This window comes from Homo sapiens, chromosome X (assembly GCF_000001405.40).
Source record: "Homo sapiens chromosome X, GRCh38.p14 Primary Assembly".
NCBI classification, from domain to species: Eukaryota; Metazoa; Chordata; class Mammalia; order Primates; family Hominidae; genus Homo; species Homo sapiens.
The window spans coordinates 99,342,861-99,365,733 of NC_000023.11; positions in this window are offsets into that span (position 1 = coordinate 99,342,861).

Genomic DNA, 22,873 nt, shown 5'->3' on the forward strand with positions numbered 1-22,873 from the left:
GTTGAGATATGTTCATTCTATCCCCAGTTTCTTAAAGGTTTTTATCCTGAAGAGATGTTGAATTTTATCAAATGCTTATGCAGCATCAATTGAAATGATCATATGATTTTGTCCTTCATTCTGTTGATATGATGTATCACATTGATTGATTTGCATATGTTGAAACACTCTTGGTTTGCAGGAATAAATCTCACTTTGTCGTAACGAATGATCTTTTGAATATATTGTCATATTCAGTTTGTTAGTATTGTGTTGAGGATTACTGCATCAATATTCATCAGAAATATTGGCCTGTAGTATTCTTTTATTTATGTGTCTTTTGTTCTGGTATCAGGGTAATACTGGAATTGTTGAATGTGTTTAGAAGTATTTCCTCCTCCTATGTATTAGAATAGTTTTAGTAGGATCTTCTTTAAATGTTTGGTAGAATTTAGCAGTGATGCCATCAGGTCTCGGGCTATTCGTTACTGGGAGACATTTTATATTGGTTTTGATTTTGCTACTTGTTATTGGTCTGTTCATGTTTTGGATTTCTTCCTGATTTGATCTTGGGAGGTTGTTTATATCTAGAATTTTTTTCATTTTTTCTAGAATATCCAATTTATTGTCACATAGTTGCTCATAGTAGCCACTAATTATTTTTTGAATTTCTGCAGTATCAGTTGTAATGTCTCTTTTCATTTCTGATTTTATTTATTTGGGTCTTCTCTCTTTTTTTCTCAGTCTGGCTAAAAGTGTGTCAATTTTGTTTAACCTTTCTAAAAGCCAACTTTGTGTTTCATGATGATTTGCATTTTTAATTTTAATTTTATTTATTTCTGCTCTGATCTGCATTATTCCATTTCTTTACCAATTTTGGTTTTGATTTGATCTTTATTTTCTGGTTTTTTAAAAGATGCATTATTAGATTGTTTACGTTCTTCTCTTTTAATGTAGGCACTTATAGATGTAAACTTCCTTCTTAGTACGGCTTGTGCTGTATCTCATATATTTCGGTATATTGTGTTTCTATTATTATTTGGTTTAAGAAGTTTTTAATTCCCTTTTTTGTTTTCTTCATTGACCCAGTAGTCAAGCAGGCATATATTCTTTAGTTTTTCTATATTTGTATAGCTTCCAGTAAGCCTCTTATAGTTTTTGTTATTGATTACTAGTTTTATTTCATTGTGGTCAAACAGGGAAGATGCATGATATCCTTTCAATTTTTTTCAATGTCTTAAGATTTGTTTTATGATTTAACATGTGGTCTATCTGTGAGAATAATCAATGTGCTGAGGAAAAGCATATATATTCTGAAGCTCTTGGATAAAATGTTCTATAAATACCTATTAGATCCATCTGGTCTAGAGTTCAGATGAAGTCAGATGTTTCTTTGGTGATTTTCTGTGTGGAAGAGCTGTCCAATGCTGCAAGTGTGGTTTTGAAGTCTCTAGGTATTATTGTTTGGGGCCCTATATTTCTCTTCATCTATAATATCATTTTCTTTATATATCTGGATGCTCCAGTGTTGTGTGAATACATATTTAAAATTGTTATATTCTCTTGCTGTATTGACACCTTTATCATAATATAGTGGCCTTCTCTGTTTCTTCTGATAGTTTTTGTTTTGAAATCCATTTTGTCTGATATAAGTATTGCTACTCCAGCTCTTTTCTTTCCATTCCACAGAATGTCTTTTTTCATCCCCTTACTTTCAATCTATTTGTGTCTTGAAGAAACATACTCTTCAAGCATGTTCACTGTAGGCAACAGATCAATAGATCTTTTCATACATTCAGTCAGTCTATCTGTTGATTGAAATTTTTTATGGGTTACATTCAATGTTATTATTGATAAATGTGGACTTACTCCTGCCATTCTATTGTTTTTTACTTGTTTTGTTGTCTTCTCTTCTTTTTTTATTTTAGTACTGTCTTTTTCTAGTGAAGGTGATTTTCTCTGGTGATATGATTTAGTTTATTTCTTTGCATTTTTTTTGTGTCTATGTTTTTTGGTTGGAGTTTACTGTGAAGCTTATTAAGTCATTGAGACTTTTCCTCTTGATGAAGGCATTTTGTACTATAGCTTTTTCTCTTAACACTCTTTTTGCTGTAGTCCAAAGGTTTTGGTAAGTTGTATCTCTACATGTATTAATTTCCAAACTTTTAAAAATTTCTGTCTTAATTTTATTTTAAATCCAAGAGTTATTCAGAAGCAGGTTATTTAATTTTCAGGTTTTATGTGTTTTTGTGAGATATTATTGATATTGATTTCTATTTTTATTTCACTGTTGTCCAAGTGTGTGTGTGGTAAGATTTGGATTATTTTAAATTTATTGAGACTTGCTATATAGCCAAGCATGTGGTTCATCTTAGAATATTTTCTGTGTGTGGATGAGGAGAATGTATATTCTCTGGTTGTTGGGTGGAATACTCTGTAGATGACTATTACATCTAATTAGTGAACTGTTGAGTTAAAGTCCAGAATTTCTTTGTTTTCTGTGTCAATAATCTATCTCTTCTGTGGAGTATTGAGGTCTCCCACTATCATTGTGTATCTGTCTAAATCATTTTTAGGTCAAGGACTTGTTTTATTAATCTGGGTACTTCTATGTTGGGTGCATATATATTTAGCATAGTTAAGTCTTCTTGTTGAATTGAACACTTTATCATTATGTAATGCTCTTTGTTTTTCCTGATTATTGTTGTTTTAAAATGTGTGACATCTGATATAAGAATAGCAACTTTTGCACTGTTTTGTTTCCCATTTTCTTGGTAGATCTTTTTCTATCCCTTTACTTTAAGTCTGTGGGTGTCATTATATGTGAGATGCATCTCTTAAATACAGCAGACAGTTGAGTTGTCTTTTTATTCAACTTGCCACCGTTGTCTTTTAAGTGAGGAGTTTAGACCATTTATATTTAGTGTTGGTGTCTATATATGAGGTTTTGATCCTGTCATTATGTTATTGGTTGTTTGTTTTGTAGACTTGTTTATGTAATTACTCTATATTATTGGTGGACTATGTGCTTGAGTGTATTTTTGAGGCAGCACATTTCTATTTTTTGTTTCCATATTTAGCACTCTCTCAAGGACTTCTTGTAAAGGCAGGCTGGAGGGTAACAAGTTTCCATAGTACGTGCTTGTTTGAGAAAGATTTTCTTTCTCCTTCACATCTGAAGCTGAGTTTGGTGGGATATGTAATTCTTGGTTGGCATTTCTTTTAAGAATGCTGAAAATAGGCCTCCAATCTCTTTTGGCTTGTAAGTTTTATGCTGAGAGGTTTGCTGCCAACCTGATGGGGCTCCCTCTCTAGGTTACCTGACATTTTTCTTTAGCTTCCTTTTTTTTTTATTTTATTATACTTTAAGTTCTAGGGTACATGTGCACAACGTGCAGGTTTGTTACATATGTATACATGTGCCATGTTGGTGTGCTGCACCCATTAACTTGTCATTTACATTAGGTATATCTCCTAATGCTTTCCCTCCCCCCTTCCCCCACCCCACAACAGGCCCTGGTGTGTGATGTTCCACTTCCTGTGTCCAAGTGTTCTCATTGTTCAATTCCCACCTATGAGTGCGGTGTTGGTGGGACTGTAAACTAGTTCAACCATTGTGCAAGACAGTGTGGCGATTCCTCAAGGATCTAGAACTAGAATACCATTTGACCCAGCCATCCTATTACCGGGTATATACCCAAAGGATTATAAATCATGCTGCTATAAAGGCACATGCACACGTATGTTTATTGTGGCACAATTCACAATAGCAAAGACTTGGAACCAACCCAAATGTCCATCAATGATAGACTGGATTAAGAAAATGTGGCACATATACACCATAGAATACTATGCAGCCATAAAAAAGGATGAGTTCATGTCCTTTGTAGGGACATGGATGAAGCTGGAAACCATCATTCTCAGCAAACTATTGCAAGAACAAAAAACCAAACGCCGCATGTTCTCTTTAGCTTCCTTTAAGATTTATTTATTGTGCTTTGTTCTTGGTGAATCAGATGGCTATATGTCTTGGGGATGGTTGTCTTATGTAATGTCTTGCAGAGGTTCTCTTTATTTTTTAAATTTGTTTGTCCTCATCTCTAGCAAAATTGGGAAAATTTTCATGGACTATTTCCTCAAATATGTTTTCCAAGTTTCTTATTCTTTTTTCTTCTCTTTCAAGAATGCCAGCAAGTTGTAGATTTGGTCTCTTTACATACTCCCATATTTCTTGAAGGTTTCGTTTATTTTTTAAAATTATTTTTTCTTTTTTTTTGTCTGAGTTTATTCAAAGAATTGGTCTTCAAGCTCTGAGATTTTTCTTCTGCTTGACCTATTCTGCTATGGATGCTTGCAATTGTATTGTGAAATTTTTGAAGAGAATTTTTTAGTTCCAGAATTTCAATTTTATTTTTTCTTAAAATGACTATTTTAACTCGTGGATTGTTTTACTAAGCTTTTTTTTTTTTATTGGGTTCCATCTTTTTCCTGGCTCTTGATGATCTTCATTGCCATCCAGATTCAGAATCCTATGTCCATCATATCAGTTATCTCAATCTTGCTAAGAACCATTTCTGGGGGAATTTGTGTGCTTTTTGGAGGTAAGAGGACACACTGGCTTTTTGAGTTGCCAAAAATTCTTGTGTTAATTCTTTCTCATACATGAGGGCTTTTATTCCTTTAACTGTGGTGTAATTTGAGTATGATCAGTTGATTTCATTTTTGGGTGTTTTCAGAGGTCAGGATACTACAGAATCTTTGTTTCAGGCTGGATCTTTGCCTTAGTTTTTACAGATGCTGTATGCTGGTAAAATATTTTGGTGTTGTATTTTGGGCTGCAGTACAGTAGGTGAAGGTTAAGAGTCTTGACCAGGAGATAAACTCTTACTCAGATAGAGGACTCTTTTGTATTTTGGCATGGTTGGCAGTAGTGCTGCCTGGTGGTAGGGTGGGAGAGATGACTGCCTCATCAGGTTCACTTCTGAGACTTGGAGGAGTCCCCTTCAATCACTGGCTACATGCCTGTGTTTCTTTGTTAGATGTTCTTGTCCACTGGGCATGATCCCTCAGGCAGGGGTCATGATTGTCAGGCAGGACATATCCTTCTTGGACTGGCCTTGCAGAGGGAGGCACACCCCACTTCTCTGCCTGCCCAAGAACCTGGGCGTCTCACCCTTCTCAGTGTTCCAAGTGAGGGCTCCCACTTGCTTAGGTGCTGCCCAAGGCAGCAAGTCCCACTCAACTGAAAGCAGCAGGGGTAGGTGGAGTCACACATACTGCCATTTGAGTGCTTCCCAGGGGAAGACAGAGCTGCACCTGCGTGCAGTGCTCAGGCAAATGTGGGTCTGATGTGTTGGAATCTCTGCATCAAATGTCTGCATCCATAGCAGAATAGATCAAGCAGAAGAAAAATCTCAGAGCTTGAAGACTAGTCCAACTGGCGTGTCTTGCCCAGCTAGGAGGAGCAGGAGCAGTTGGATCACCCAGTTCACTGTCTGGGTGCTTCTCAGGAGAACACGGGGCTGGGCTCACCCACAGAATTCAGGCAGAAGCAGGTTTGCTATGCTTGGAGACCCAGCCGGTATGGTCCGCTCAGCTACAAGTGGTGGGGGTTGCTGGAGTCACCAGCTCCACATTCTGGGTGCTTCCTGGGGTGTGCCCACTTACAAAGTTCAGGCAGAATTGGGTCTGCCATGCCAAAAGACCCAGCAGGCATCACCTGTCTGGGTATAAGTGGCAAGGGTGGGTGGAGTCACCTAGCATGTCAACTAGATGTTTGGCAAAGTGGGGTGTAGCAATAGCAATCTTACTGCTCCCCAGCACCACAGCTGTGTCCTCTACTGGGTCTGTGGTACTGGCACCAGTCTCTTCTGGGATTCAAGGCTTGTAGAGGTCCCTGTGGACTTGAGTGTTGCCTCCACAAAAGCTCTGGGCAGCTATCTGTGTCAATTTAGAGGCCTCGGGGTATCCAGGGGATTTTCCTTTTCCCAGGCTTGCACAAGTAGCTCTGGGAAGTGGAATCCTCTAGGAGCTCTCACTCGCTCACACTTTCCCCATGTTGGGGAACTTTTGGCTCCATGCTGATTTCAGTTGTGCTGCTGCCCAGCTTTACTCCTCTCTGCTCTCTGTATCTCCTCGCTGCCTGGATGGATTCTGACATGGTTTCTTAGATGATTGACTTGCGGGATCAGTGTTCACTAGCTACTTTGTTTCCTCTTCATGAGAGTGGAACACATGAGCTGCTTATAGTCCACTATCTTGGCCCTCCTGACTCTTTAATAATAGCCATTTTGACTGGTGTAAGGTCATACTTTATTGTAGTCTTAATTTGTATTTCTATGACTAGTGATGTTGAGTATTATTTTGTGATCATTGGATGCTGATATGTCTTCTTTTGAGAAGTGCCTGTTCATGTTCTTTGCCCTTCTTTTAACAGGGTTATTTACTTTTGTCTTGTCAAGTTAAGTTCTTTATAGAACCTGAATATTAGTCCTTTTCTGGACGTATGATTTGCAAATATTTTTTCCCATACTATAGGTTGTCTTCTTACTTGTGATTGTCTATTTTGCTGTGCAGATGGTTTTTTATTTTAAGTCCTATTTGTCTATTTTTGTTTCTGTTACATTTGTTTTTTGGGTCTTAGTCATAAATTATTTAATAGGAAGACAGATAATATGATACCTTTAGCTTTATTATTTTGCTTAGAATTGTTTTGGCTATCCGGGCTCTTTATTGTTACCATACAAATTTTAGAATTAATTTTTCCTAATTCTGTGAAAAATTATATTGGTAATTTAATAGGAATTGTGTTGAATTTGCAGATTGCTTTGAGAAGTGTGGTTATTTTAATGATATTGGTTCTTTTTATCAAAGAACATGAGATTTTTTTCACTTGTTTGTTCCATCTACATTTTTTTTATCAGTGTTTTGTAATTCTCCTTGTAGAGCTCTTTCATCTCCTTGGTAAAATCTATTACTAGGTAGTTTTCGTGTGGCTATTGTTAATGAGTTGGAGCTCCTGATTTGTTTCTCAGATTGAGCATTGTTGGTGTGTAGAAATGCAACTGATTTTTGTGTGTTAGTTTTGTAAACTAAAACCTTACTGAAGTAGTTTATCAGGTCTACTAGTCTTTTGGAGGAACGTTTAGAATTTTCTAGTTATAGGATTGTCTTCAAAGAACAGAGATAATTCGACTTTCTCTTTTCCAATTTGGATGTCTTTTATTTCTTTCTCTTGCCTGATTGCTCTGGCTAGTACTTTCAGTATTGTGTTGAACAGGAGTGATGAGAGTGGGCATCCATGTCTTTTTCCATTTTTTTAGGGAAAATGTTTTTGACTTTTCCCCATTCAGCATGATGTTGGTTGCGGGTTTGTTATTTATGGCTCTTATTATTCTGAGGTATCTTTTTGAATGCCCCATTTGTTGAGGGTTTTTATCATGAAAAGATATTGGATTTTATTGAATGATTTTCCTGCGTCTATTGAGATAACCATGTGGTTTTTGTTTTTGTTCTCTTATGTACTGTGTTAGTCCGTTCTCACATTGCTGTAAAGAACTACCTGAGACTGGGTAATTTATAAAGAAAGAAGTTGATTTGGCTCACAATTCCACAGGCTATGTAGGAAGCATGGCTGGGGAGGCCTCAGGAAACATACAATTATGGCAGAAGGTGAAGAGGAAGGAGGTATGTCTTCTATGACAGGAGCAGGAGGAAGAGAGAGCAGGGGAATGTGCTACACACTTTTAAACAGCAGATTTTGTGGTAACTCACTCACTGTCATGAGAACAGCAAGGGGAAAATCTGCCCCCATGACCCAATCACCTCCTACTAGGCCCTTCTTCCAATATTGGAGATCACAATTCGACATGAGATTTGGGTGGGGACACAAATCCAAACCATATAATGTAGGGAATCACATTTATTGATTAATGTATGCTGAATCATTCTTGAATATCAGGAATAAAATCCACTAGATTATGATGAATTAACTTTTTGACACACTGCTGGATTAATTAGCTAGTATATTGTTGATAATTTTTCCATCTATGTTCATCAGGAATGTTAGACTCTTGTTTTCTTTTTTTGTTCTTGTTGTGTCCTTGCCAGATTTTCATATCAGAATGATACATGTTTTGTAGAATTAGTGAGGGAGAAATACATCCTCTTCAATTTTTTGGAATAGTTTTAGGAATACTGGTACCAGCTCTTTGTATGTCTGGTAGGGTTTGGCTGTGAATCGATCTGTTTTTTTTTTCTTTTTTTATTTGGTAGATTTTGTATTAATTTTATTTCATCACTAGTTATTGTTCTGTTCAGGATTTAATATTTTTCTTCTTCAAACTTGGGAGGTTCTGTTTATATAAATTTATTCATGTATTATAGGTTTTACAGTTTGTACACATATAGATGCTCACAGAGTCGAGGAAATTTTGTATTTTTGAGGTAAGAGTTGTAATGTCTTTATCATTTCTGATTGTGCTTATTTGAATCTTCTCTTTTTTTCTTGGTTAATCCAGCTAGTTGTCTACCAATTTTATTTATCCTTTTGAAGAATAAACTTTTCATTTTATTAATCCTTTGTATGACTTTTGGTCCCAAATTTATTTAGTTCTGCTCTGATCACATTACAGCTTTTCTCTGCTAGCTTTGAGTTTGGTTTGATCTTGTTTTCTAGTTTTTTAGGTATGACATTTTGTTGTTAATTTGAGACCTTTCTCTTTCTAATGGAACATTAGTTCTGTAAACTTTCCCTTAACACCTTTTTTGCTCTATCCCAGAGGTTTTCATTTGTAGTGCTTCTATTTAATTTGTTTAGAAATGTTTTGACTCCTACCTTAATTTTTATGAGTTTATTATAGTTAAATTCATTGAATTGAGCCCTTTACCATCATAAAATGCTCTTTGTCATTTTTTTACTGTGTTTTGATTTAAGGTCTGTTTTATATGATAAAAGAATATCAACCATTGCTTTTTTTGGTTTCTCATTTACATGATAGATCTTTCTCTACCTCTCTGCTTTGAGGCTGTGGGTGACATTACCTGTAAGATGGTCTCTTGAAGGCAATAGATTGTTGGGTGTTTTTTTTTTTAATTACAATTTGCCAATCTATGTCTTTTAAGTGGCACATTTAGGGCTGTTTATATTAAATGTTAATATTATTATGTGAGGGTTTATTTCTGCCACAGTTTTGTTAGCTTGTTGCTGTGTAGCCTCAATTGTGTAATTGCTACACAAGATCTGTGAACTTGTATTACTTGTGCTTTTATGGTAGCAAATGTTGTCTTTTTTTCATGTTTAAAATTTCTTTGAGCATTTCTTGTAGGACTGGTATGGTGGGAATGAATTCCCTTAGCTTTGCTTGTCTGGGAAAGACTTTATTTCACCATATGTTATGAAGATTAGTTTGGAAGTCTATAAAATTATTGCTTGGTATTTTTTCTTTAAAAAGGCTGAAAATAGGCCCCAATCTCTTCTGGACTGTTCAATTTCTGCTAATAATTCAATTTTTATTTTGATGGAATTTTTGTTTTAGTTAATTTAACCCTTTTTTTCTAGCTCTTTTGATCATTTTTCTTTCACATTGACCTTGGATAGTCTGAGGACTGTATGCCTTGGTGATGGCCATCTTGTATAGTATCGTGCAGATGTTCTCTGAATTTCTCGTATCTGGATGTTGACCTCTCTAATAAGATTAGAGTAAATTTCCTGGATTATTCTCTTTAATATGTTTTCCAGCTTGCTTATATTTTTTCTCTCTCAGCAATGCTAGTAATTCATAGGTTTGGTCACGTTACATAATCATATATTTTTCATGCTTTTTGGGGGTCTGGCTCTGTTTATTCAAAAGACTGGTCTTTGAACTCTGAAATTATTTCTTCTGTTTTGTCTAGTCTATTGTCAGGGCTTCCAGTTGTATTTTGAGATTCTTTTAGTGAATTTTTTAATTGCAGAAATTTTTTTTATTATAACTATTTCATCATTCATATCCTAAATTGCTTTTCTGTTTTTTTGTTTTAATTTTCAACTTTCTCTTGGATCTCATTGACTTTCCTTGCAATCTCTATTTTGAATTATTTACCTACCGTTTCGGATTTTTTATTTTGGTTAGAATCCATAGCCAGAGCACTAATATGATCTTTTGGGCTTGTCCAGACACTCAGTCGTTTTGTTCTGGCAGAGTTCTTTTACTGATTTCTTCTCATCTGAGAAGGATGTTACTTCTTTTGATTTTGCTATTGATTGGATTTGGTGTTTTAATTTTTTATTCTTTTTTCCCTAGAGGGTGTGACTGTGATGTATGTTGTGTTTGATCATTCAGCCTTGTTTCTGGGTGCTTTCTGGGAACCAAGGCTCTGTATGAATTCATTTGTTGTGGACAGCTGCTGTGCAGTGGCTTTCTCAGAGGTTGCTTGTTGTGGTAACATATTGGACATATGAGCCAGCACACTATATTTTGTGAGGCAGAGACTGCAGAGTTCTCAGAAAGCTTATCTCTTGCACTAGCACTATGTCCTTGTGGCAGCAGGATTTTGGTTTGGTGGTTCAGTTCAGACATCAGTCCATTAGCTGACACTTATGAGTAGAGCCAGCTCACACCCAGGCAGGCTGATTATGAATGGAAGCACCCATCCTGCAAGGGGGCAGATTGGTAGGTGAAGATCATGTTGAGGTTCACTGAAATCTCTGGGGAAGCAGCAGGTGTGTGCACCAAGTCTGTCCTCAGCAGTTAGGAATGTCATCTACTTCTCTATTGCAACCCTATCACAGAGGTCACGACCTCCAGTTGGAATAGACTTTGTCCTTTGGCTCCAAGCCACAATGTGGCTGCAAACCACAATAAGTCCTTCTGGTGGCTAATGCACTAATGGGTTTAGGGCAGAGCCTCTTTGCCCTGTCCAGATTTGACAATTCTGTTGTTTGTCTGCCTTCTGTTGACAAGATACTGGAATTCTGTGTAGGGAGGGAGAGTTGGGCCCTGCCCTTTATGCAAGCCCAGTAGGCACAGACACACTTTCAAGGTGGATGGATCCTTCACACACACACACACACACACACACACACAAAGTGTTTTCTGCAAGTGCATAAGCAGTGCCCCCCAGAGGGGGGTACCTCTGTTGCAATCACAACAGTAGACAGGGGAGCAGGATGACTCCCTTTCCATGTCTATTACTGGCCACCAGTGCCATCCCCTTCAGCATTTGGTGCCATGCCCATGTTTTCTTTGTCCCCAAGGGGGCTTTGGCAGGTTGTGTTCTCCCTCCCGTAGGGAAAGCTCACACTAAGAGTTAGACGTCTATGGGTCTTACAGCTCCCTAGGGATCCACTAATATCTTGTACTTATCTTGTACTTACCAAAGACAGAACGGGTGGTGGGGTATGTTTGCAGGGGATCTGGTAATGCAGTTTATGAAGGACAGAGAGTCCCTAGGTTGGGCAGTGGCCCACCCCAGGTACACAACCAGTATGGTGCCTACCATCTCACTTTAGGTGTGAGGGGAGTGTGGGCCTACCTGTGTGAGCTGGCCACCCAGTTCCCTGTGCCTCAGAAGTTTCCAAATTGCCACTGACAGTACTGCCCTAGGTCTTGAGGGCACGCAAGCTCCCCAATAGTTTGACAATCAGCAGACTCTTGCAGGGGTGATAAGATCAGAAAAGCACCCCCATCTACCTTTTCTGCAGGGCTCTGAGTTCCTCAGATGACCCATGAGAGTTTTAGAAGTATTTTTTAATCTTAAAAATATTTGAGTATTTTCCAGATTTTTGCTTAAATTCATTTCTAGTTTAAATCTCTTCTGGTCAAATAACATGCTATGAATGATTTTAGTTATTTTCCATTTACTAAGGTTTATTTTATGACCCAGAATATGGTATACCATCATTATGTTTTATGACCTCATATAAAGAACGTGAAATCTATTTTGGGGTGAAGTGTTCTATAAATGTCAATTCAGTCAAATTGGTTTAAAGTGCTGCTCATCAAACAAACCCAGAAGCTAGCAGAAGACAAAAAATAATCAATATCAGAATGGAGCTGAAGGAGACAGAGACACAAAAATCCCTTCAAAAAATCAACAAATCAAGGAGCTATTTTTTAAATTAATAAAATCAATAGATTGCTAGCTAGACTAATAAAGATGAAAAGAGAGAAGAATCAAATAGACACAATAAAAAACAATAAAGGAGAAATTACCACTGACCCCACAGAAATACAAACAGCCATCACAGAATACTATAAATACTTCTATGTTCCACAGGGGGGAATGTTATAGGAGTCATTGAGAAATTATTTTAGGCAGATAGAGAGGAAAAGGGGTCCTTGGGAACTTTTTGTTTATTTTAAAGCAGCTCCAGAAATGTTTCTTGTCTAGCAGGAAAGCCCCAACTCTTAGAGCCAGACTGCCAAGCTTTGATATGCAAATGCTGGCCATTAGAAACTGGGTCCACACAAACATGGCGATTCCCACCATCTTCTTCTTGCCCTTGCCCCCACATGTGCCTGGCAACATGGCTGCCCACACATATCCCCATGTGTATCAAACATCATGGTGCCCTATATTTGCATATCGAAAGGCTAGGGTGGGAGGGCCAGTTTTTTCACAGGCTACATAAATCAAGTGCCTGGTCAAACCAATCCTCTGACCCTTATGCAAATCAGACACCACCTCCACCAGACTCCTCATATAAGCAGCCACTTTTCCACTGCACACGAGGTTTCCTCACTTGGTTTGGAGCCCTTCTCCCTTTGTCTCTGTACAGGGGAGCTTCTTCCTTCTTTCTTGCCTATTAAACTCTCCACTCCTTAAAACAACAACAACAAAAAATTAAAAATAATCTGGAAAATCTAGAAGAAATGGATAAATTCCTGTACACATACACCCGCCTAAGACTGAACCAGAAAGAAGTTGAATCCTTGAATACACCAATAACAAATTCCAAAATTGAGGCAGCAATAAATAGCCTACCAACCAAGAAAAGACCAGGACAAGATGGATTTACAGCTAAATTCTACTACAGGTACAAAGAGGAGCTGGTACTGCTTTTTTCTGAAACTATTCCAAACAATTGAAAAGGAAGGACTCCTCCCTAACTCATTCTATGAGGCCAGCATCATCCTGATACCAAAACCTGGCAGAGACATAACAACAACAAAAAAGAAAACTTCAGGCCAATATCCCTGATTCACATCAGTGCAAAAATCCTCAATAAAATACTGGCAAACTGAATCCAGCGGCACATCAAAAAGCTTATCCACCATGATCAAGTGGATTTCATCGTCAGGATACAAGGCTGGTTAAACATATGCAAATCAATAAATGTAATTCATCACATAAACAGAACTAAATACAAAAGCCACATTATTACCTCAATAGACATAGAAAAATCCTGCAATAAAATTCAACATCCCTTCATATTAAAAACTCTCAGTAAACTAGGTATTGATGGAACATACCTTAAAATAATAAGAGCCTTTTATGACAAACCCACAGCCAATATCATACTTACTGGGAAAAAGCTGGAAGCATTTCCCTTGAAAACCAGCACAAGACAAGGATGCTCTCTCTTACCACTCCTATCAACGTAGCATTGGTCATTCTGGCCAGGGCAAACAGGCAAGATAAAGAAATAAAGCATATTCTAATAGGAAGAGTGAAAGTCAAACTGTCTCTTTTTGCATATAACATGAGTTTATATCTAGAAATCCCATCATCTCAGCCCAAAAGTTTCTTCAGCTGATAAGCAACTTCAGCAAAGTCTCGGAATACAATATCAATATGCAAAAATCGCAGCGTTCCTATAAGATACTTACAAATACAGCTAACAAGGGAAGTAAAGGACCACTTCAAGGAGAACTACAAACCACTCCTCAAGGAAATAAGAGGGAACACAAACAAATGGAAAATTATTCCATGCTCATGTATAGGAAGAATCAATATCATGAAAATGGCCATACTGCACAAAATAATTTATAGATTAAATGCCACTCCCATTAATTTACCATTGACATTCCTCAGAGAATTAGAAAAATCTACTTTAAAAGTCATATGGAACCCAAAAAGGGCTTGTATAGAAAAGAAAATCCCAAGCAAAAAGAACAAAGCTGGAGGCATTGTGCTACCCAACTTCAAACTATACTACAAGGCTACAGTAACCCAGACATGTTACTGGCACGAAAACAGACACATAGACCAATGGAACAGAAAACAGAACTCAGAAATAAGACTGCACATCTACATCCATCTGATCTTCGACAAATCAAAACAAGCAATGGGGGAAGGATTTTCTATTTAATAAATGGTGCTGGGAGAACTGGCTAGCCATATGCAGAAAATTGAAACTGGACCCCTTCCTTACACCTTATACAAAAATTAACTCAAGATGGATTAAAGACTTAAATGTAAAACTCAAAATAAAACCCCTAATAGAAAATCTAGGCAATACCATTCAGGATATAGGCACAGGCGAGGATTTTATGACAGAAATTTCAAAAGCAATTGCCAAAAAAGAAAAACTTGAAAAATGGGACCTAGTTAAGCTGAAGAGCTTCTGCACAGCAAAGGAAACTATCATCAGAGTGAACAGACAACCTAGAGAATGGGGGAAGATTTTTACAATTTATCCATATGACAAAGTTCCAATATCCAGAATCTGCAAAGAACTTTAACAAATTTACATTTAAAAAACCCCATTAAAAAGTGGGCAAAGAACATGAGTAGACTCTTGTCAAAGAAGACATTAATGTGGCCAACAAACATATGAGAAAAAGCTCAACTGCACTGTTAGAGAAATGCAAATCAAAACCACAATGAGATACCATCTCACATCAGTCAGAATGGTGATTATTAAAAATTCAAGAAACAACAGGTTCTGGTGAGGTTATGCAGAATGTAAATTCCCACCTTTTATACTGTTGGTGGGAATGTAAATTAGTTCAACCACTGTGGAAGACAGTGTGGTGATTCCTCAAAGTTCTAGAACCAGAAATACCATTTGACCCAGCAATCTTATTACTGGGTATATGTGCAAAGGAATAAATCATTCTGTTATAAAGATACATGCATGCATATGTCCATTTCAGCACTATTCACAATAGCAAAATCATGAAATCAACCCAAATACTCATCAATCATAGACTGGATAAAGAAAATGTGGTACATACACACTATAGAATACTACGCGGCCATAAAAAGGAATGAGATCATATCCTTTGCAAGGACATGGATGGAGCTGGTAGCCATTATTCTCAGCGAACTAACACAGGAATAGAAAACCAAACACCAAATATTCTCACTTATAAGTGGGAGATGAACAACGAGAACACATGGACACAAGGAGGGGAACAACGTGCACTAGGGACTGTTGGTTGGAGATCGGGGGAGGAAGACCATCAGGATAAATAGCTAATGCATGCTGGCCTTAATACGTAGGTGATGGGTTGATAGGTGCAACAAACTACCATGACACACATTTACCTGTGTAACAAACTTGCACATTCTGCACATGTATCCCAGAACTTAAAATAAAATAATATAAAATAAAATAGAAAGTGTTTCTCATGTTTTATATATCTTTCTTGATTTTCTGTCTACTTGTTTTTTTAATTACTGAAAGTTTTAACGTTTCCATTCCATATATGTTTTGATATTTTTATCTTTTCATTCAACATTTTCTTTTGCTTCGTGTACTTTTAAACTCCATATTTTTATGTGTATCGATAATTCATATTTTTTGCATCTTCTTGATAAACTGAACGACTTTATCATTGTGTAACATCCTTTTTTTATTCCTGATAATATATCTTCTGAAACCTATGTTTTTCGATATCAATAAATTCAACTGAATTTTCTTTGGATTAGAGTTTGTTTGCCAGAATATTTCATCCTTTTACTTTTATCCTAATTATGCTTTTGTTTTAAAGTCAATTTGTTGTAAACAGCATATTGTTGACTCTTGTCTGTTCAGTCTGGCAATCTCTGTATTTACCTAGTATACATAGGCCATTAATATTTAATATAACTGTAGATATGATTGGTTTAAAATTTGTCATTTTTCTAATCATTTTTTATTCTTTTTTCTTATTCTTTATATTAAGTCACTATTATAATTCAATTTTATCTCATTATATTTAATTTTATATCTTAAATGTTATTTATATCTTAAATGATATAAATTTTATATCTTAAATGTTGTTTAAGTTTAAAAATCTTTAAATTATTATTGGTTACTCTAAAGTTCCTGACATACATCTTTATTTAATCACAATCTACCTTCAAATAATGTACTGCTTTATATATAGTATCTGAAATTTGCAACAATACATGTAGTCCCTCTTTCTCCTTTCTATGTTTTGTGATTTTTTCTCATTTATTTTAATTTTACATTTTGTATAAACACACATTATATTGTCACTATTTTTGTGCTTAGTAATCAATTATCTTTAGAGTGATTAAAAGCAACTTAAAATTAATTTTATATTGACCTTAATATTTACCATTTCCAGCAGTCTTCATTTCTTTCTAAGGATCCAAGTGTCTTTCTGGTATTATATCTCCTTCGAATAACTTTATTTAACATCTTTTAAAGTGCAATTCTGTCTACAATGAGTGATTTTCGCTTTAGATTCCTTGAAAATGTCTATTTCTGCATTTTTGAAACATTTTTATTGAATACAGACTTGTTGGTTATTTTTCTCTTTGAGTATTGTAATGATACCACTCTTTTGACTGTTTTTTGTAGTTTATGACAAGAAAGAAACCTGATGTTATTCTTATATTTGTTCTTCTGTAGTGATGTGATCTCTCACCTTCTGATATCTCGAAAGCTTTTTTTTTTATTTTCAGCAGTTTAAATATTATGTATATCTGTGTATTTTTGCATGTGAGTGTGCATGTGTGTATGAGAAAGAAAGACAGGGTTTGTGTGGTTGGGGCATTTATTATGCTTGCTGTTATCTGACATTCTTGGAGTGGTATGTTTTTCATCACTTTTGGAAAGTTTTCAGTTGTAGTCTTCTCAAATATTTCTTCTGCTTAATTCTCTCTTTTTTCTTGGAATCCAATTACACATAACTTAATTGATATTGTCCTAATGTTTGATATCCTGGACGTCTTATTCCCTTTTGTGTGTTTTGCTATGGATAATTTCTATTGACCCATCTTAAAGTTTGGTGTTTCTTCTGCTTTATCAAGTTTATTGATAAGCCCGTCAAACATATGCTTTATCTTTAATATTATGTTTCTGTTTTAAGCATTTCCATTTGATTCCTTTTTCATATTTTACATCTCTTTGCTGAAATTGCCCATCTGTTTATGCATGCTGTAATTATTTTCCATATATAGCCTTCAACTTGTTAATCAGTTATTTTAAAAGTCTTCTCTTCTAATACCACCTTTTGAGCCAAATCAGTCTTATTGATAATTTTGTTTCTCATAATGTTTTTTCCTTATCATGTGACTCATTTTTTTATTAATGATGGACATTATGTATACAACAGTGAATTCAGAGGTAAATATTTCTTGTTCTTGGAAATTTGGACATTTCTTTTGCTTCTATTGTCGCTAAGTCTTTACTGTTATGTGATTGAATCAATCTAGTCAGGAGCTGAACTGCATTTCTGTTTTATTGTTTACCTGTGGTGCACTAAACTCTTTAAATGCCTCTAGTTTTGCATTGTGCTTAGGATAAAAAAATTGGTTACTTAAAATTTTTTCTCACTTTTCCATTTCCATCAACAGTTTTAGCCTTTACCTGTGAGCCAGAGCCTCAGAGAGCAGCAATCTCTCTGCACTCTTGCTTAATCCCCCAGAGGTAGTGTGTTACTGCATGTTATGCAGTGTTTGCTGGTGTATTGGGCAGAAGTTGTTGGAGGTTTCCCTGTTATCCTGGTTCATTGTCAGACCTACGCGGGCCTGTATCCCTGATTTTTGGGAGTGGTATTTTCTCAATGATACTTCGTATCTACAACAGTGAAACCCTGCCTTGTGTCTTTAACGGAGTTCTGTTTTTGTCTTTCCTTTAGTAAAAGTGGATGGGTAATGGTCTAAGCTCAGGATGATTTCCTGCACCTCTTTGCAGGGATAGAGAATTTTTATGTCTATTTTGTTTTCTTTTTTCCTTTATCCAGTAATAGAACTTCAAATGTGTCCTAGGGGAGACAGATTTTACTATCCTTTCTACAGTGACTTGAGACTTATGTTCTGTAGAAACATAGTGGATAAAGATCTAAGCAGGGTGTCTTGACTTTCCTCAACTGACACTGATATTTTCCTCCAGGCTTGTAGCAATGAGAGTAGTTCTGTCTATTATCCCACTCTAGGCCCCGTACTTTTCATGAGGGCACTGTAAGTTTCATGAATAACAGACAGGAAGTGGGTGCAAACTGCCCTACATCTCCAGCTTCCAGAATTTCTATACTGTAATACTAACCTACACTAAGCCTTTAGAAATTAGTGTAAAAGTATATTTTAAATATTCTCCCCTATTTCTATAGCAGTGCTATCTTTCTTCCATGCTCTGCTGCTGGTAAACAAATATGTGATTTTAGTATTTCCTGAAAGATACCTTTCTTTTCCTTAGGTTTACTTCAGTTTTTTGATGAGCTCAAGAAATGTTATTATTTTTTAGATTTTCTGTTTTATTTTGTGTTCTTTACTTTGGGAATGATTCTCCTTCCAACTTTCTATAAACAGGCAAAGCCAGAAATCCTAACTTCCATTTGTAAAGGATCACTATAGCTTCTGTGTTAAGAACAGACCAAAGGGCAGCAAGTGTGGAAGTAGATTTTGTAGTTTAAAATTTATTGTAGAAATATAGGTAATAAATTATGGTTATTTGACCAAAAATTGTAGCAACATAAGTAATAGAAATTCAACAAATTCTGAATGTATTTTAAAGACAGAGTCAAAATAATTTTCTCACTGATTAGATGGGAGGTATAAGAGAAAGGGTAATCAGGGATTCCTCTAAGAATTCCTTTTGAGCAAGTGGGAAAATAGGATTGACATTTTAAAAACTAGGTAAGTATATGAAAATAGTAGGTTTGAGGGAAACACTAGAAGCATTTTTTGGGGGGAGGAAACATGTTATGTTTAAGGTATCTATCAGGTATTCATGTGTGATATATGAGTCTAAAGATATAGAATTTTATCTTCAAATAATTATAGATTGGATTTATACATTTGATGATTATCAAAGTATGGAAAATATTTAAATCACTGAGACTGGATGAGATCCCCAAGGCAGTGTGTGGGTTTTAAGAAAATAAAATGTTCAAGGAGTGATACCAGGGTATTTTAACATGATGTTGGCAAGGAGGGGAAATCAGTAAAGGAAACTGAGCTAAAGATGACAGAAATGTAGAAAGAAAACCATAATGATAGTGAGGTTTTATGAATTACAAAAATGTTTCTGGAGAAGGGATGAATCAACTTTATCACACGCTGCTGATAGATTAAGATGAAGACTGAGGTCTGACCAATGTCCCTGATTAGGCAGTAGAGGATAAGATCTTATTCATAAGTTGAATATTTTACTTTTTATAAAAGTAGAGACATTTTATACATTGTGAAAGGTGGAAATACAGCAGATATAGTACAGTCATTTGGAGTAAATGAATAGTGGCAGTAGAACTGTGTGTGTGTGTGTGTTTATGTGTGTGGATTAGGAAACAAGTTCACCAGCAGGTGATAAATACTGGAAATGAAGATAAGAAAATTTATGGGGAGAGAAGAAAGTGTGAAACAGTCATCCAGGTGAGTGGAGGAGTGAACAAATTAGGGAACTGAAGTCAGATTGCCAAGCAGCACCAAGAGCTTTCATGAGGCTATTTTTTTAAGTCAGTTGACTGTCCTTGAGAAAACTGAAACATTCAAACACAAGTTTATGGATACATAGTTTTTCCTTTCTCAATGAAATAGCTCACAAATAGCAAATATTTTTAGCTATTCCTATAAGTAGTGGAGTCTATTTTCTACCCTTTGGATCTGTGCTGACCTTGTGACTCGCTTTCACCAATTGAATGAGAAAAAGATGAGATTATGCAAGGTCTCAAGAAGCTTGCAGTTTTCACTTTCACTCTGTTGGAACACTGTTGCCATGTGAAAATCATGGTAAGCCTCTTTTAGGATGAGTGACCATGTGAAGAGAGAGGCACACTTATCCAACAATATCAGTTATACCAGACTTTCCAGCCTCCCAGATAAGGCATCAATCCTATGTGTAAGACCAGTGGAGACCATAAGGGGCAGAGATAAGGTGATTTAGCTGAATACAGCTCAAATTGTCAACCTACAGAATTATGAGTAAATAAATTTTTGTTATTTTAAACTATAGTTTGTTTTTATTTATGCACCAGAAATGAAAAAGAAATACCCCCACCCAAACTATCCTTAGACACAGTAATTTAAGTGACTTCCTCTAAGTCAGTCCTGCATGATTGAGCAATCTATCATACTTGATACAAAGTGGTGATTAGCTTAGATATTATTTACTCAGGAGGCTTCTAATACCTCACCATGCTGATTTAGGTGGCTATGTTATGTGATCTTACAGGAATCTCTTCTCCCACATTCACATGACTTAGTTGTAATGACCGTTTACCTCTTTCTTTTGCAATAGACTGGAAACTCAATGACAGAAAGCATGAGTCTGTCTTGCTCATTACTATATCTGTCTCACAAACAGTGTATAGTATTTGTTGTAACAATGAAAGCTCATAGACATTTTCTGATAAAATAGAATAGAGCACTCTGTATAAAAGAAATGGGAGATGGCGCCAGATGACAGAATAGAATGCTGCACCAATCATCATCCCTGCAATGACATCAATTTAACAACTGTCTATACAGAAAAAGCACCCTCATAGGAACCAAAAATCAGGTGAGCCCTCGTAGTACCTGGTTTTAATTATGTATTCCTGAAAGAGGCACTGAAAACAGAAAAAAAAAACAGTCTTGAATTACTTATATCACCACCCCCTCCCCGCCCACACACACACACACACACACACACACACACACACACACACACAGTGGCATGCTGGTGCAGAGAGCCTCTCTGGGTGCGGGAGGAGGAAGAACATAGAAATTGTGAGACATTGAACTCAATGCTGTCATATCAGAACAGAAAGGAAAATTGGACCAAATGCAGCTGATGCCTGATCACAGAGGGAGCATTTAAAGCAGCCCTAGCCAGAGGGGAATCACCAATCACAGTGGACTGAACTTGAGTGCCTGCAAACCTCACCACAGAGGGCTACAGCACTCTGTGTCTCCAAGTAAACCTGAAAGGCAATCTGGGCCATAAAGTCTGCAAATCTTAGATGAGTCTTAGTGTGGAATTTGGCCCAGAGACGGTGGCATGGGTGGGGGCGCACATGACGTACTGAGAAACCAGCTGGAGCAGCCAAGGGAGTGCTGGCATCACCACTCCACTAACCCCGTAATTCAGAGCTCACAGCTCCAAAAGAGACCCCTTCTTTCTGCATAAAGGAGAGGGAAGCATGGAAAGAACTTTTTCTTACATCCAAGATACCAGCTCAGCCACAGCACAATAGGGGGCTGTTCAGTTGTGAGGCCCCTGTTCCAGGACCTAGCTCCCACATGAGATTTTTAGACACATTCTGAGCAGGAAGGGAACTCTGCCTTGAAGGGAATAACCTAGCATTTATCACCTGCTAACTCAGGAGTCCTTGGGTCCTGAACAATCAGCAGCGATGTCCAGGTACTACATCACGGGCCTTCAGTGAGCCTCAGACTTGCTGGATTAATGTGAGATTCAGAACATTGCCAGCTGCGGTGGCTACAGAGCAAAATTGTACCTGCTTGAGAAAAGCAGAGAGAAAAGTAAAGGGTACTTTGCCTTGCAACTCTGGTACCAGTATGGCCAGAGGAGGGTAGAGCAACAAGTAGGCTTTCAGGGTCCCTGATTTCAGGGCTTTACTCTTGGATGGCATCGCTCGACCTGCCTTGGGCCAGAGGGGAGCTCACATCCCTGAATGGCAAGCCCCAGGCCAGGCAGCATTTACCACAAGCTGACTTTAGAGCCCTTGGACCTTAGGAGAATATGGGCAGTAGTCTGGCAGAACTCCCCGTGGCCTATGGTGGCGGTGGCTATGGGATAAGTCTTCTCAGACTTTGAAAAGGGGAAGGAAGAGTTGGAAGGATTGCATCATGTAGTTTCAATGCCAACTCAGCCACAGAACAGTAAAACACCAGGTAGACTTCTAAGGTTTTTGACTCTAATTTCTGACCCCGGGTGGCACCTCTGAACCCAACTGTAACCTAGAACTCTTAATGCCCTGAAGAGAAGAACACAGGCCTGCCTGGCTTTGCCACCTGCTGATTGCAGAGCTGCAGGGCTTGAGCTAACATAGGCAGTAGCCAGGGAGTGGTTACAGCAGGCATTGGGCTAGACTCAATGCTGTGTTGGCTTTAGGTCTGGCTCAGTGCAGTCATAGTGGTGGTGGCCAGAGGAGTGTTTGTGTCACTTAACCCTTAGTCTTAGATGGCTCAGAACAGAAAGTGAGATACTTTAATTATTTGAAAAAAGTAAGGGGAAAAAAACAAGAGTCTCTGATCAGTATTCCAGATAATTCTCCTGGATATTGTCCAAGATTGTCAAGGTGGTACCTCTATGAATCTGAAAGAATCACAGCATTACTTGGCTTGGGGTGCCCCCTAAAGCAGATACACCTTAGATCGCCACACCCAAGTTCTTTCAAATATCTGGAAAGCCTTCCAGAAGGATGGGTACAAACAAGCCGACAGTGAAGATTACAATAAACAATTAACTCTTCAATGCCCAAACACATTATCCTGGATGGTGTTGCCGACGTCAACACCATCCAGGATAATGTGACTTCATCAAGTGAACTAAGCAAAGCACCAGGGACCA